General features: G+C 44.0%; 1 protein-coding gene and 1 long non-coding RNA gene across 14 annotated transcripts in view; one reads left to right on the forward strand and one right to left on the reverse strand.

Annotated features, from left to right (window-relative positions):
* LOC124905990 (uncharacterized) overlaps nt 1-16,410 on the reverse strand; it is a 118,030-nt gene that overhangs the window by 96,974 nt on the left and 4,646 nt on the right. The gene's annotated exons all lie outside the window — the stretch shown is intronic.
* Nucleotides 1-16,410, forward strand: part of VIT (vitrin) — a 118,088-nt gene that overhangs the window by 89,676 nt on the left and 12,002 nt on the right. For all 13 annotated transcript variants that reach the window (NM_053276.4, NM_001177969.2, NM_001177970.2 and 10 more), the window contains 2 exons: nt 747-894; nt 14,919-15,022. In NM_053276.4, the coding sequence (NP_444506.2) occupies nt 747-894; nt 14,919-15,022 (252 nt within the window). The remainder of the gene's footprint in view (nt 1-746; nt 895-14,918; nt 15,023-16,410) is intronic.

Here is a 16,410-nt window from a genome sequence, read left to right on the forward strand (position 1 = left end):
TTTTCACTAGTTCCTTTTGATGTTTGAAAGGGTGAAAAGAGCTTGCAGCCCATCCATCCCTTTACCTCTCTTATAACCTTCATATATCCACAGAGATCCAGAGATCCTAAGGCAGAATAACTATCCTGGTCCTCATCACAACTAAAAGAAAGAAAGAAAAAAAATCTCGGATAGCTACGAACAAGGGCTGACATCCTATACATATATGTAGATAATTTCTTTGGTTCCCTCGCCCAGGGAAATGAAGGAGAAGATTGATATCAATTTCTTATTCTATAATTCCTGCCCTCCCTCAGTGCTGGCCTTGCAGATCTCTCACACCTTATAAAAATCCAACACTGGTTTCTAAAAAGTTAGGATGAGAGCAAAAAGCCACACGCTCTTGCGACTCAGTCTTGATGAATTCTCACAACGGGGAGTCTGCACTTACAAGATCTTAGCCTAGGAAACCATTGACAGCCTTCCCTAGCTTGGCTAGGACGTCGCTGCTTCTGAAACCCATAATTGTGGCAGATACATAGAGTTTTAAACAGTTATGGAAATAAGGACTAGCCTAAGTGTCCAAGACCCTGGTGCTCAGGGAAACCCCTGTGGGATGTAAATAAATATACCCTGCATCTTCCTACCTCTTTTTCCCTTTCTTTTCATTTCTCAGGGGGCTCTGATGGAGAAAGAGGAACAAGAGGATGCCCAGGTAAATGCAGTGAGAGATCATGAGAATAATAGAGTCTTTTTCCGTTCCGCAGACTGCAAAATTGACTTGTCGTTTTTAATTGATGGGAGCACCAGCATTGGCAAACGGCGATTCCGAATCCAGAAGCAGCTCCTGGCTGATGTTGCCCAAGCTCTTGACATTGGCCCTGCCGGTCCACTGATGGGTGTTGTCCAGTATGGGTAAGTGCAGTTAATGTTCTGAATCCAGAAAGGAAGTCATGCCATGTGCTTAATTTTATGCCACGTGCTTAATTTTATGCCACAAATATTACCAACATGTCCTTGAGCACAGATTTGTTCTCTTCCCTAATGCAAATGTAAATGAAAAAACTGAAGGAATCCAGATGCCTTTAAGAAATCTGAGACTTCCTGAAGGAAGGGACAGATTAAAAAACACTTGTAAGTAGATGGCATTTGCACTCAAGAATATTTATTTGTCTGGAAAACAGGAGAGATGCGTGTGAGTGTTAACTTAGCCAATAACCAGCTCTGTGGCCTTGGGCTAGGCCTTCGCCTCTCTGATTGTCAGTTTCCTCATCTGTAGATCATGAAGGTTGGATCTGCTTTCAACCCTATTACAGCATTTGTTTGAGGGACTCCACCCTGTGCTACAACCTATCCACCTATAGGTTAGACGCCTAGAGAACATGGTGCTTTAGGTTGTATCTTCTCTTTTCTCCAAATAACCTTAGGCCCCTGCACTGGTACTGGAAAAACTCACCAGGCAATGGAGAAGAATGGGTGGGAAGAGAGACGGCCCCCATCAGTCAGCTGAGCACCTAGATGACTTTCGCCAACCTGCTCTATTATTATACTTAGGATAGAAATGGAGGGCTCGTGTTGACATCCAGTCTCAATCTTTCATTTGGCGGTAATAAATCACTCTTATTTCAGATATGAATAGGTTTCTCACTGAAACAGATACATAGATATTGATAATAAACAATCAAAAGAACAAGCGTGCATAATCTTAAATTTATACACACATCTTAAATAGGTAGCCTTTTGACCAAGAATCATTGAGGGCAGGATGGGTATCATGCCTTCTACAAAGGACCAGTGGGTGTGGAAGGGGTGACGGAAGTGGAAACCATCATAACCTTTGGTGCCTATTGCTTAGAAGTGCGGTCACAGCTTACTCACCCTCCTGAAAAGAAAAACTATCCATACCTGACAACACCCGCGGGGTCTCCAGCGCCTTCAGAGGTTTTATTTTAACAAAGTTTGCTCTATCAAAGAGATCAATATTAATTTTTGAGTTGTCAAGAGAAATAAATAAAATGCTTTATTTTCATAAGAACCTACATTTGTGTTTTTAGAATTTAATTCCGATAACACATTTGATACTACCTTCTATTCCTGTCAGGAAAAATTAATAGATGAGTTAACTGGCACTTGTATGTAGTCACACTCAATTAGATAAAAATAACCCATTGCTGCAAATGTCACCTCTCAAGCTCAGGGGATCTATCTTGAAGTTTTTGAGTTGAAATAAGAAAAGTGCGGTTTTAGGGGGTATTTTCTGGTTTCAAAATGCCAACCCTTTTTCATTCCTGTGTTACTTTTTACAGATAGCCAATGGATGACAGGTTTTACTAGAGAGGAAACATACGCGTTTTAATGCCAAATGTCCTTAGTCAGTTTTACTGGGAGGCTCAAAGCTTGATGTGTTATCTTGCATTAAAAATAGCTGCTTTAAAAGCTTGTATATAGCAAGCTTTATAGTATAATATGAAAATAAGATGATAAATATGTCAGGGAAAAGAAAAATGGCGTGAGAATAGTGTTGCTGATGAGAGCATGGATTAGAGAACAAATGTTGCAGGGAAGGAAGAAGAATAAAGACGCCTTCCCCCAAAACATTTTCCCCACATACTCCCAATGTGATCGCCATTCACAAGCAAGAGTTTACCCCCATGCTTTTCAGTTTTACTATCTAAAAAATCCCTTGTGTCTGCCTTTTTCACGGGGTTCTTATTAATTTGGAGCACTTAGGGAAATGTGTGTGTTTTCCACTGTTTTATGCTCACATAAGCTAATCTATCATCTTCGCCCTCCCCCAGCAGCAGGGTGGAGTGGAAAGCGCAATGCACCGCTGACAGGTGATCTGAATTCGGGCCTCAGCTCCTCTGTGTGACCTTAAGCCAGTCACTTAACCTCTCCTTGTAAGTGCTGCCATCTGCATAGCAAGAGGGTCAGACTAGATGATTTATTAGGGCTCTGCCAGCCCTGGCGTCCTGTAATTCAGTGACCAGCTCTGTATTCAGAAGACATCCAGTAAATGAATGTGGGACTAACAGACCAGATAACTGCCTTTCCCTTCCTTTCAGTCTCAGGGTCCCAAGGAGGTGGGGTGATCAATGACGAATTGATGTGTTGCACAGCGGTGATACAACCATCCGTGGAGCGTGGGAAACAAAACAAATGAGAGGGCGGCCCGAGAAGGGTATGATGAGGCTGAGGGGGAGACACATTTATTCAGCAGAAACTGCTGTTGGTTTCACTTGCCCAGCTTCCTCTCCTGGATGGTCCCCTTCAATCCCCGCTGTATGCATGAGAGCACACAGAGGAAGGAAGTGGGGCATCCTGGTGATTTGGGTTCTCACCAGATTCTAACGCCCTCTTTGCTCCCCCTTAAAATCATCCCTGCACTCTTGGAATCACAGGCTGAGGCCTTGAGAGCACCTGATTCTACCTCTTTGTGTTGTAGTGAGGAAATGAGGCCCTACAAACAAATGACCGCCTCATCAAGAACTAGCACTGGAAGGAGAGACTCAAGTTGAGAAGCACCTGGCCAAGGGAGGAGGACTCCGGAGCTCAGAACTGCTCCTTCCCTCCCTTCTCCCCTCTGTTACCACTGCCCCTGGTCCACACAGCTTCCTGGAAGATTCCTTCCTTGGGTTTCCTTAGGAGAGCTGAGTCAGAATTTAGACTTATAAATTTAGAACTTGAAAGACAAATTTAGAAGTTAAAAGACTCATACTAAATATTAACTGGGAAAAAGGCAAAGAAAAATATAAGACCTATAAAAATGGTCTCATTTACAAAATGCAACACATCTTGACTCCTCAATCTCCTACTCAAAGACGTTTTGGGTACACGGAACAGAAAACCACTCCAGGTAGCCCAGGTGAAGGGAGATTCGTGGAAAGGAAAGTGTTCACAGGACTGATGAGACATTGGCCATCCCCTTCCCCTCCTCTGCCTGCATCTCTACACCTCTCTGCCTCTCCATTCTGATCTTCTCTCAGCTGACCAGCATCCTCTGCCGGGCTCTTGGTTTCTGATCCTTCATAACTTCACTTTGCACTGGCTGAGATCCTACCTCTGGTCTGGGCCCAACAGAAGTTTTAACCACCATGGAACTGGGCAAGCACCCTCTCCCATGTTCTCCACCTGCGGGACCCATAACTCACAATCACGTTAACCTGTCAGCAACCACAGCATTCCTACCACACTCATCACACGCCTCCAGGAATAGAGGCAGCTTTTGATACAGAGTCAGAGAGGTTGACTGACTTTCCCAAGAACACACAGCTAAATGCATGACTGGGGCAGAGGACAAATATTAGTCTTGAGTTAATCCCTAAAATGTCAAACAAAATTGTCGTGAAAGCAGAGATTTCGCTCATCTGCCAGGAAAGAGTCTGGTAATTGCTACTTTTCACCTCCTGAAGACTGAGACATCGTGTGTGGACAAAAGGCCAAGGATCAAGCCCCTGTCTTGCACATGAATTCTAAGTTCAAATTATACAACCAAAAGGCTTATAATTGCACCTAATACCAACAGGAACACGGAAAGAGTCAATGAAAGAACAGCCAGGCAAGCCATTAGGTGAACTCTAGTAACGTGGCCAAACACCTTGCATTTCAGCTGCATCCCGGACCCACAGGTGCTAACAGTCCTCCAGACCTTCACTACACTTTCATTTCAGGCCCCCATCTCAGTATAAATGGAACATAATTGCACACGTTCTTTGTAATCAACCCTAGGATATCAAAATTGGAAACAGTTGTGGGATGAAGGGAACTGTTGGTTTTTTCTTCATTTGAAAATCAAATAGACTTTTCCTTGCTCATGAGTCTATAATAGCTGTCCTGTGGTTTAGTGAGTGGCTCTGACTTGGCCGCATCTCCTCAGTCTTCTCACTTCTCAGCCCACCCAACCTCAGCCCGTGGACTGAAGACTCGTGGTCATGCATTCAGCTGGGCAGAGCAGCTTCCATAGGTCGGCTGAGCCACCTAATGCAGGACAGTCAGAGTTGAGGGGAAGAAGCAAAATGCCGTGTCTGGTATGTTAGGCAAAATAATGACCCCGAAGTTGTCAATGTCCAAATCCCTGGAAACCGTGAATGTTTTACCTCACACAGCAGAAGGGACTTTGCAGATGTGATTAAAGTTAACAACTCTGAGATGGGGGGGTTCTCCCGGATTATAGGGATGTTGCAGTGTAGCCACACGTGTCCTTAGAAGTGGAGAAGCTTTCCCAGCTATTGTCATTCAAAGGGAGGTGTGACGATGGAAGCATAGTCAGAGAGATGTGACATTGCTAGCTTTGAAGATGGAGGAAAGGGACATGAGCAAGAAGTGCAGGCATCCTCTAGAAGCTGGGAAACACCAGGAAACAGATTCTCCCTGGAGCCTCTAGAGAGGGGCACAGCTCTGGCCACACCTTGGTTTCAGCCATGGAGACCCACGTCGGACTTGGGACCTCCGGAACTCTCAACTAAGTTTGTGTTGTTTAAGCCACCAAGTTTATGATCATTTGTTACAACAGCAATAGGAAGCTAATACAACTGGCAACGAGGACCACTCTGTCTCATTCTCTGAGTCTGCAGCCAAAAAAAAAGGGAGTGGGAGGGGCTGGGGCATGAAATGCAGCTGGGATGGGGGCTGGCAGAGGTGAATTACAGCACCCACCCTCAGACTTCAGAGCAGGAAGGGGCTGTCTGGGCCTTGACTTCACGTTGGCATTACCTGGGGAGCTTTTTAAAATGCTGATGCCTGGGTCCTGCCTCAGACCTATTAAACCAGAATCTGGCAAGGGGATGAGACCCAGAGCTTGGTATTTTAATCTGTAATTCTCAAGATCTCAGAACAGCTCCCCGTCACCTGCCTGGCCTGATTTTCCAGGGCCTAGTGCCCCTTGCCAAGACCCCACCATGCCACTTCTCTCCTCTCTGAGAGACAGGCAGGTAAGGCCCACAAGCCGCACTCCTCAGGAACACAGAGTCTCAAGACCAAGTGAACTGTGAATACAATATGCCCAAGAATCATAAGATTCTGAGGTTTTTCTTCTGCCTCCCATGCTTTTATTTCCCTATCATGCAGGGCTCCTGGAGGTACATACAAACGACTGCGCTTGACTTCCACCCCTCCCCTTTCAGCTCTCCTCACACATCCACTGGGTTTATCTGGGGTCCCTGAGATCAGTCTCCCCGCAGAGAAGCAGATGGGCACCCTGATGCCCAATAGAACCACCTGGGAGCTCCTAAAACTCCAGATGCCCAGACCAAACTTCACATCAGTTAAATCAGATTTTCTGAGTGTAGAGCCCAGGTATCATTATTTTTTAGAGTTCCCCAGCTGATTCTGTGGTGCAACCAGAGTGAAGACCGGAATATTCTCATGGGCCTGTGCTGTCCTCCAGTGAAGCCCAGTCCCCCAGTGACCCCTGACCCCCACAGTGGCCAGTCCAGAGGGCTGGGGGAGCTCCACCCTCCTCCCTTTCTCTGCCTTTCATTTCCCTTCTCTAGACTTCTTATTTATTTTCCTTCTTTCATCTTATCACTGGAAGCCCCATTGCTGATTTTTATTATTATTATTATTACTAAAGCATCCTCTAAGACATTGCTACTCAAAGTGTGATCCACAGTATCATCTGGGAGGCTGTTAGAAATGCAGAACCTCAGACCTCACTCGGGTTCTACAGAGTCAGACTCTACATTTTAACAAGATCCCCAGGTGATCAGATGCACATCTGAGCTTGGGAAGCTCTGTTGCCAAGATGCCCCACTTCCCCAACACTCACTGAGCCCTGTGATGTGGTTGCAGATTAGCAGCTGGTGAGCCAGTTTGTTCAGGAGTGGCTCTCAGATCAGCATATTGCACGTGATTCACATTTACTCCAGCAGGAAGAGGTTCATGCAGCTCAATTTTCTACCCTTTTTGGTAGATGAGTGGAATTCTCATAGTTATTGCAGAAAAAAAAACCCCACTCACTTAAAAATGAAATTTGATTATTAAGACCCTGCTCCTCCTTCTCTGATGGTGGGAAATGTGGAAAAGACCAGTTCCCATTCATCGAGGGCTAGTTGTGCAAAGTCCCTGAGCAGATTGGCCCAGGACGCTGCACCCTGGGCTGGTCATAGCTGCTCTAGCAGAGCTCATAGCTGTCTGAAGGGATGGGAGCAGAATGATTTTCCATCTGAACCAGGTAATACCCTCAAGGGACAAGTCTGCAGCCACTGTCGTGTGACCTGAAACATCCTCCTGATCTTACAGGCATGGTCCATCTCATTGACTAAGTCCATAAAGCATCACATATTAGCTAGTAAAACAATTAAAAGGCTAAATAGTTATGTTATTTGATTGTAACCTTAAGTTGATGGCTTGTTTGAGAAAATAGAAAAGTTCTTGTTGGAGGGAATTATGATTAGTTAATATTTCTCTACTGGCACAAAAATCCATTTGAGAGGCTCATTCTGTGTGACTCAGAGTGTCATGGGGTAAACCAGTAGACCCTGGGGCTTAAACAGAATAGGTACTTTAGGACTGAAAGGGCCTCAGAAGCCTTCTAGAATCCAGAGCTTTACAAACTTTCCTGAGAATAAGAATCACCTGGATCTCCGAGCCCCATGGATTTTCTTTCAAGGAGAGGAATGGTAACCTATATAGTTTAGTAAGTGCCTTAGGTGAGTTTTATCATCAGGTAGGTCTGGAAACACTGATGATCCATCCAATTTCCCTGTCCCTAGCCCTCAAGCCTTCCTAGGAATCAAACACCTGTGCCCATTTCTGACAGGTGTTTGCTTCTTAAACCCTTGCAGCGTAGCCATTTACTGTTACACAAATTCCTTCTTTTTAGGCATGGCCAACTTCTGGCTCCCTGTCATTCCTCTTCATTAATCCTAGGTCTTCCTCCAAACACAGAACAATCTAAATTTTCTCTTTGAGCTAACAACCTCTATGTTTTCTTCTCTTATTTTCAAAGGAAATCTTTGATATTCCCTAGAAAAAAAAATTTAGTGTTTGCATTTAATAAGAACCTGTAATAAAATTACAAATTAAAAGATTGCTTGCATAAAAATTTAGTGGCATACCTCTTTGAACTTTTAGTCTCCAAGTCTGAAGAGTAACCAGGCTAATCAGGCCATCAACCTATGTATCTCGGAAAAGGACACATATACGCTGGTCCTGAGACCTGCCACGGACTGCAGATTCATGATTTCTTATTCATTATTATGATTAGAGTGAAATTTAACAAATATTTCTTAAATGTTTGCCATGTACTGCGCCCTTGGTCATTTGTGGAGGATCTGATGAAAAATTCATCTAAGTGGTTTGATTACGTTTGCCTTTAATTCCCTTGGTGGATGAGTTCCATGCCTTTGCCCCTAATTATAATTTTAGCAATCAGAAAGGGTTTCAGAGGTCCTCTGATCCAACCTTTCGATCTATTTAAATAAATAAATGTGGTAGAGGTTCTGTTCTTTAGGACCTCACAATCCATCCAGGGAGGCAATATTTTTAAAAGAAATACCGTTAAAAAAATTAGAAGCACCTATTCATTCATTATATGAGTAGCTCATCTGTATGCCTCTGAAGATGGATTCATCATCTAGGATGTAATAGAAGCAAGGGGTGGTCAGTGTGGAGCTCAGAAGTAGAGTGTTCACCTCCACTGGGGATGAACCGAGAGAGGAGAGGATGTTTGAGCTTCCTTTCTTCCATTTGTTTATTTCACAATTACCTATTTAGTACCTCCTGGATGCTAAGTACTAGGGATTGGAAGCTAGGAGAAAGTGCCTGTTCTCAAGTAGGTTACAGTCAAATCCTCATGATCTCTGGATTCTGTATTTGCAAATTTGCCTACTCCTTAAAGTTTAAATTTATTTGTAATCTCAAACTTGTAATTCCAGGAACTTTTGCAGTCATTTTTTGGATATGTGTAGAGGTGGGGAAAAAGAATGGAGTCACCTGATGCACATCTTCCCAGCTAAGGTCAAACAAGACAACACTCTGCCTTATTTTATTTTATTTTATTTTATTTATTTTATTTTATTTTATATTTTATTTTATATTTTATTTATTTTATTTTATTTTATTGAGACGGAGTTTCGCTCTTGTTGCCCAGGCTGGATCTTGTTGCCCTGGCGCGATCTCAGCTCACTGCAACCTCCGCCTCCCGGGTTCAAGCGATTCTCCTGTCTCAGCCTCCCGAGTAGCTGGGATTACAGGCACATGCCACCACGCCCGGCTAATTTTCTTGTATTTTTAGTGGAGACTGGGTTTCATCATATTGATCAAGCTGGTCTCGAACTCCTGACCTCAGGTGATCCGCCTGCCTCGGCCTCCTAAAGTGCTGGGATTACAGGCGCCCAGCCCACTCTGCCTTCTTGTTTCAACTCTCTTCAAGTGTCCTTTCTGCAGTCTTTTTTTAGTGCCACGTTTTTTACATTTTTGTGCTTGTCTTTGGTGATTTTGCTATTTAAAATGGACTCCAAATGTAGTGCTGAAATGCTAGCTAGCTTTCTTAAGTGCAAGAAGCTGGGTTGTGGCTTGCAGAGAAAACAAGTGTGTTCAATTAGCTTTGTTCAGACATGAGTGACAATGCTATTGGTTGTGAGCTCAATGTTAATGAATCAATAATTTGGTGCATTCAGAAAAAGAAGAGGAAATTTGCTAGTCTGTATATGAGTCCACTCCAGAAAGTACTGAAATAATATCTAAAGGGTGTGATGAAGCTATGGAAAAGAGCCTAAACTTACGAATTCATGAGATCATGACTGATTAAAAAAAAAAAAAAAAAACATAGTGGGCAGCATAGTTGTAAGGCTAAAAGCCAAAGAAATTTATGGTCATGTTATCCAAATTCAGGAAAATGGTAAACCCTTCTCAGCTAATATCTTATTATAAAGATATACTGCATATAATTAACTATTTGTAAGAAGCATATATTAAATTCAATGTCTTCAAAGAAAAACACATGTAAAACAAGGTTATATATTGTTCTGTTGATGAAAATGTTGTGACCAGAGGCTCACAGGAACCAAACCTTGTATTTCCATTGGAAGGAATGGCTCAGTACTTGCTAATTCAGTGCTCATGGCAACTGCAACTTTATAGAACGTAACTGCCAAAACTAACAAGACTCAGCTGTGTATGTGGTAGGGGAAAGAGACAGGGAATCGACAATTGCTCTATAAAGTGATCAACATCAACCCAGAACCTTAATGATCAATATTAAGATATCAGGAAAATGACTAAGTGAAGAGGTTCAACATTAAATACTTTTTTTCTGTAAAAACTTTTTTTTTTAGTTTTTTGTTGTTGTTGTTTGTTTGTGTTTGTTTGCCCAGGCTGGTCTCCAACTCCTGAGCTCAAAGGATCCTCCTGTCTTGGCCTCTCAAAGTGCTAGGATTACAGGCGTGAACCACCATGCCTGGCCTGTAAAAACTTTTGAAAGGAACCTTTATATTTTTGCTTTTTAAATTATTTGTCGATGAGCAACGTTTAATTTATGATTGGCTACTATTTCTTGACAGTCACCAGACACCCTCAGGAAATTGTGCAAAGTGAGAAAATCTAGCCCACAAATCATTTTCAAATGTAATTCAGTTTTTATAAATTAAAAATTTTACTATTAATGTTTTACATTATAACTAATGTAAAAAATGTACAAATAACATTATGTTTGATGGACAATTACATATTTATTATTGTCAGTGTCAATTTTGCAATTTTTCATTTTGTAGCCAATATGTTTTTTTGTTTCAACCAATTTTTTTTTTTTTTTGGCTCTGAAAATGTTGATAACCCTTGGTCACTAGAGGAAGATCCAGACTTTAAGGACTCTGAAGCTTATACAGTTTGGGGGCTCTCTTAAAGTGAAGATCACAAAATGACAAATACTGTACACAATTAGACGTCTTGGAAGAGGCATTATAACTTCTTAGTTAATCTGTTTCTGTGAAACACTTAGAGCCAACTGGATAAAACATCCACTGCAGAAGCTGCCCTGGTTAGGACCAGGTAGGAAACTCTGGCAATATTCAGGAAAGAGATGAAAGCCCAAACTTGGGGACGGAAAGGATGGGAGAAATGTGAGAGATATTTAGAGGTAGGTCTGACAGGACGTGGTATTTGATGAGGAGAGTGTCAGGAACACACACTGCTGGATGACTGAGTGAGTCAGAGAGGAAGGCAGATGGGGAGATGGGTGGTTGGGTGGATCAGGCTTGGAAGATAAACAACTTCAGGTTTGGAAATATCTAACCTGAGGTGCCTTCCAGAGGAAGCTGTATGGAAGCCATTTTATGTATATGTGAGGTTCAAGAAAGGGGACCAACCAGTGCACAGACAGCTTTTGGCACATGAATGGTCTGTGAGTCCTGGGAGTTGATGAAATCTCCCAGGGATGTGCATAGCCAAGAAGAGATGCATGATGGGGCTAGCACCCTATGGAACACCAAAGTTTAGAGGTTTAGAGATGCACAGAAATAGAACAAAGAAATGTTAATGCTGTTAATTGAGTGCCTGTAGGCGCCACATATTATGCACGGTGTTGGTTAGAGAAAGCTGAGTCAGGCAGAGAGATTGTCAGCTGGGGCTGGGAGTAAGGGAGATGGGTCGCTGAGCTTGGAGGGTGGGCACGATTGGGGCTTTCCAGATGAGGGAAGAAGTGAGCAAATGCACAAAGCTAGAAAAGTGGGAAAGGGTGAACAGTTCATTTTGACTAGAACATGGAATATCCTAAAAAAGAGAGTGAAAGAGAGAATAAGAAAGAGAACAGCCTTAACATGATAGTTGGAAATTAAATTATGGATGCTTTGAAAGCCAAAACATCAAGTTTAGCAATGGGAATTTCTGATGATTTCCAAGCAGGGGAATTTTGCGGGCAGAACTGAGGACTGAAGGTTCCTCTAGCAGATGGCCACACAACTAACACTACAGAGACCAACACAGGGATTCTTAGGGGCAGCCAGAAGCATGGGGGCCAGGACTCCCGGTGTTACAGTAGACATACAGGGTAGGGAATAAAAGCGAATGAATGTATGTAGAGGAATGGCCAGGACCTGAGGGATGGGGGCTGATGGGCTGTATAAGTAAAAGTGTACATAGCATTTACTGAAATTGCTTTGTAAAAATATAAACCCAGCCACGTACAGTGGCTCATGCCTGTAATCCCAGCACTTTGGGAGGCCAAGGCAGATGGATCACGAGGTCAGGAGTTCGAGACCAGCCTGGCCAACATAGTGAAACCCCGTCTCTATTAAAAATACAAAAACAAATAAGCCAGGCATGGTGAAAGGTGCCTGTAATCCCAGCTACTCCAGAGGCTGAGGCAGGAGAATTGCCTAAACCCTGGAGGCAGAGGTTGCAGTGAACCAAAATCGAGCCACTGCACTCCAGCCTGGGCAACAGAGCAAGACTCCATCTCGAAAAAAATAAATAGATAAAATTTTTAAAAAATGAACCCATAAGCCCTAGAACCCGAGGGGAAGAATACAGAGTGAAAGCCACAGTGCTCCTCCACTGTGTGACTCCTCCTCCCTGAATTTGTGACTTTAGCCTCAGATCAAGACACTTCACACTGTAGGTTGATAGGAAGGTCACGCCCAGCTCAACACCCCCATTTCCCCCATTCTGCTGATTGCTGTGTTGTTGTTTGTTTCTGTTTAGTCCCAACCATAGAACCTGGTTTTCTTCTGGTGAAATTTCATCTATTTGGGTTTTTCTCCAGTGCCCCACTTTGGTTAAGCTTGTTTTAAATTTCCTGTCTTCCCTGAAGGTGTCCACTCTTTCTGTTTTTCATCCCTTGCCTTGTAAATAAGCCACCCTCTGGGGATAGCATAGATCATTTTGAGATAGAGAGCAGTTTGGAAAACAGGGATGGAGGAAAGGAAGCGGGGAGGCAGACACTTTCTCCTCTCTCCCAGGTCCTGGTGACTGGTTTCCTCGTGACTGCACCACTTGTCCCGGTCCGCATGGACTCACTAAGAATCAACCCATGGTCAGCATCCTTGAGGTTCCCACCTGAAACTGCCCACAACCGCTTCTTCCTGGATCCATTTCTGGTGTTTGTAGAAAGGCTACTTTAAAAAGTTTTCTTGGCCAGGCATGGTGGCTCACATCTGTAATCTTGGCACTTTGGGAGGCCAAAACAGGACAATAAGCTGCTTGAGTCCACGCTTTTAAGACCAGCCAGGGGCAACATAGCAAGACCTTGTCTTTACAAAAAATGAAAAAATTTGCTGGGTGTGGTGGCATGCACCTGTGGTCTCACCTACTTGGGAGGCTGAGGTGGGAGGATGCTTGAGCCCAGGAAGTTGAGGCTGCAGTGAGCCAAGATGGGGCCACTGCACTCCAGGTTGAGCAACAGAACGAAACCCTGTCTCTGAAAAAAAAAAAAAGTCTTCTCCTTCTTGAAAACTTAGTAGCCTCTATGGCTAGGCTTGGTGGCTCATGCCTGTAATTCCGGCACTTTGGAAGGCCAAGGCAGGCAGATCACCTGAGGTGAGGAGTTGGAGACCAGCCTGGCCAACATGGCAAAACCCCATCTCTACTAAAAATACAAAAATTAGCTGGGTGTGGTGACACGCACCGGTAGTCCCAGCTACTTGGGAGACTGAGGCAGGAGAATCACTTGAACCCGGGAGGTGGAGACTGCAGTGAGCCAAGATCGAGCCAGTGTACTACAGCCTGGAGACACAGCGAGACTCCGTCTCAAAAAAAAAAAAAAAAATGGCCGGGCACGGTGGCTCACGCCTGTAATCCTAGCACTCTGGGAGGCCAAGGCAGGTGGATCACGAAGTCAGGAGTTCAAGACCAGCCTGGCTAAGATGGTGAAACCCTGTCTCTACTAAAAATACAAAAATTAGCCAGGCGCGGTGGCAGGTGCCTGTAATCCCAGCTACTCGGGAGGTTGAGGCAAGAGAATTGCTTGAACCCGGGCGGCAGAGGTTACAGTGAGCTGAGATCGCGCCACTGCACTCCAGCCTGGGTGACAGAGTGAGACTCCGTGTTAAAAAAGAAAGAAAGAAAAAAGAAAACAGTAACCTCTAGCCTGGACTGACTACATAATGTGCAGGGCAGCTTGTTCAAAAATGATGAAGAATTTCAAGACGGCAGCAGCAGAGCACTATGCCAAGCCTGGGCCTTTCTGACTGAGGCTCTTCTGGAGCATGGAGCCCTGTGTGACTGCGCAGGTCTCACGCCCACGAAGTCAGCGCTGCCTGTGGCTGAGTGTCAGTGGTTTGTGAGATGTGATCTCACACCTCATCTTGGGTGCGATGCACACACACCCGCCCTCCTGCACGCCTCCACACCCTCCACTCCGCCGCTTCGTGGGGATTCACTTGTAGAGAGGGATTCTTACTGTGTTTTTCCACTGAATTCACTCCAACTCCTCCCCAGTTAATCTTTTTCAGTCTTCAGCAAAATAGATGTTGACCTTCTAGATGAGTTTGAGTAGTGTCACCCGGTTGCAGGATGAGAAGCAGAGAGAGGTCTCCTTGGTACCACTATTCACGTGCAATTCCAGTGCTAAGGGTAACCCAGAGAGTGGCTGACAGCTGAGATTCTCTTTCTGGAGAGGGGGGTCTGGGGTAGGCTGAGAACGCTGAGCACTCCACAGATGGGATCCTGACATTTGCAAAATCCCACTTGACAACAGTCCCGTTCATTAGCAATATGGGTGTTATAACGATGTTTTCATCTACATGAGGAATCTGAAGCCCAGAGAAGTTGTCTCCTCAAGATCACACAGCCAGGAAATGGCACAGTCAACACACGCCTTCTGAGCCTTGAAATAGCCTCCTTTTCTCTACACACACCAGTCCACAATGGGACATTTTACAAGGCATAGCAGAAGGCTTTGAAGCAGCTTCTATTTGTATATAAAAGAATCAACCATGATCTCTGCCTTCCTCCAAAGGTATTAACTTTGCAGCTAATTTGTATTTCTTGTTCTGACTCTTCAGAGACAACCCTGCTACTCACTTTAACCTCAAGACACACACGAATTCTCGAGATCTGAAGACAGCCATAGAGAAAATTACTCAGAGAGGAGGACTTTCTAATGTAGGTATGTGATCCGGATTCAAATTATACTATCTTGCTACCATCGTTCTCTTTCTACGTGATTGTCTTCTAACCATTCTATATAAAAGGAAAAAATAATAATAATCCGTCAAGAAATAACTTCTGGTCGGGCGTGGTGGTTCACACCTGTTATCCCAGCACTTTGGGAGGCTGAAGCTAGCAGATCACTTGAGGTCAGGAATTCAAGATCAGCCTGGCCAGCATGGTTAAACCCTCTTTCTACTAAAAATACAAAAATTAGCTGGGTGTGGTGGCGGGTGCCTATAATCCCAGCTACTTGGGAGGCTGAGGTTGCAGTGAGCCAAGATGGCGCCACTGCACTCCAGCCTGGGTGGCAGAGCGAGACTCCATCTGAAAAAAAAAAAAAAAAGGACAAAGAAATTACTCCTGCAACATCTATATCTTTTCTAAAGTTATCATGGCTTCAGAGGGCAAGAATCTTTAACACACACACACTGTACAGTCCCAGCATGCTTGGTTTGCAAGAAGGGGTAGCATTCTTCAGGGCAATCAAGTCTGCTGTCCTGACTATTTTTTTGTTGGCCTACAAGTCATCACTTGTTTCATTAAATTTTGTGACCAGTTAAGGAAGCCCCTCAGTGCCCCTTGAGAATCTTGTTCCAATCAACTACCGTTGTAGTGATGATTGTGCAAAGAGAAACATGTTCTCTGTTTCAAGCTAGGTCTTCTGTGATATCTGAGCCTTTGGGGTCTCACCAGAAATCCAAAGTCTAGTCCTCAGTGGGGCATGTCCAGAAATTCCATTTTATGTTTATCCAGAGTTGATTGGCCATTAGGAAACAGTTTCACACTAACCAAGCTCAAAGACTGTCAAAGAGCCCATGCCAGTGTATTCATTTGTAAATGAAAGATTGGCTTTTTGGGCACTGGAGGGAGACTGTCCACCTCTCGGGGAAAGTGTTTCTGTCATCAAAATCCAAAGAAATGGAGTCATGAGCCACAGTTGCTTGGCTTAGAGTACATGCAGGGAATTGAGCTGTCTTTGAGGGAGCATCCTCAGAGTTACAGTAAATCCGATTAAAGATTTCCCTTCCCACTTCAGTGTATGTCTCTATAGTGACCAGAACATTAGTATCTAACACATACAGAGCTTTTCACCTTTGAACAATGCTAAATAAACACTAGCCAAGTCACTCTCCATGCCCCCAAAGCAGTATTACCTTCATCACACACATGACAGAGTTGATTTCTGGTTTGTTTATAACTTAATGCTTACATTAGTAAAATCCCAGTGGAGACAAATGTCAGAAGGCACTCTCGTTCCTTGACGAGGTTAGCGATGGGTCTCAATCCAATCAGCATACGTTTTTCAGTGGATGACATGTTCTGACTTTGCCTCTGTATTGTCCA

The sequence above is a fragment of the Homo sapiens genome, chromosome 2, assembly GCF_000001405.40.
Source record: "Homo sapiens chromosome 2, GRCh38.p14 Primary Assembly".
Classification (NCBI taxonomy): Eukaryota; Metazoa; Chordata; class Mammalia; order Primates; family Hominidae; genus Homo; species Homo sapiens.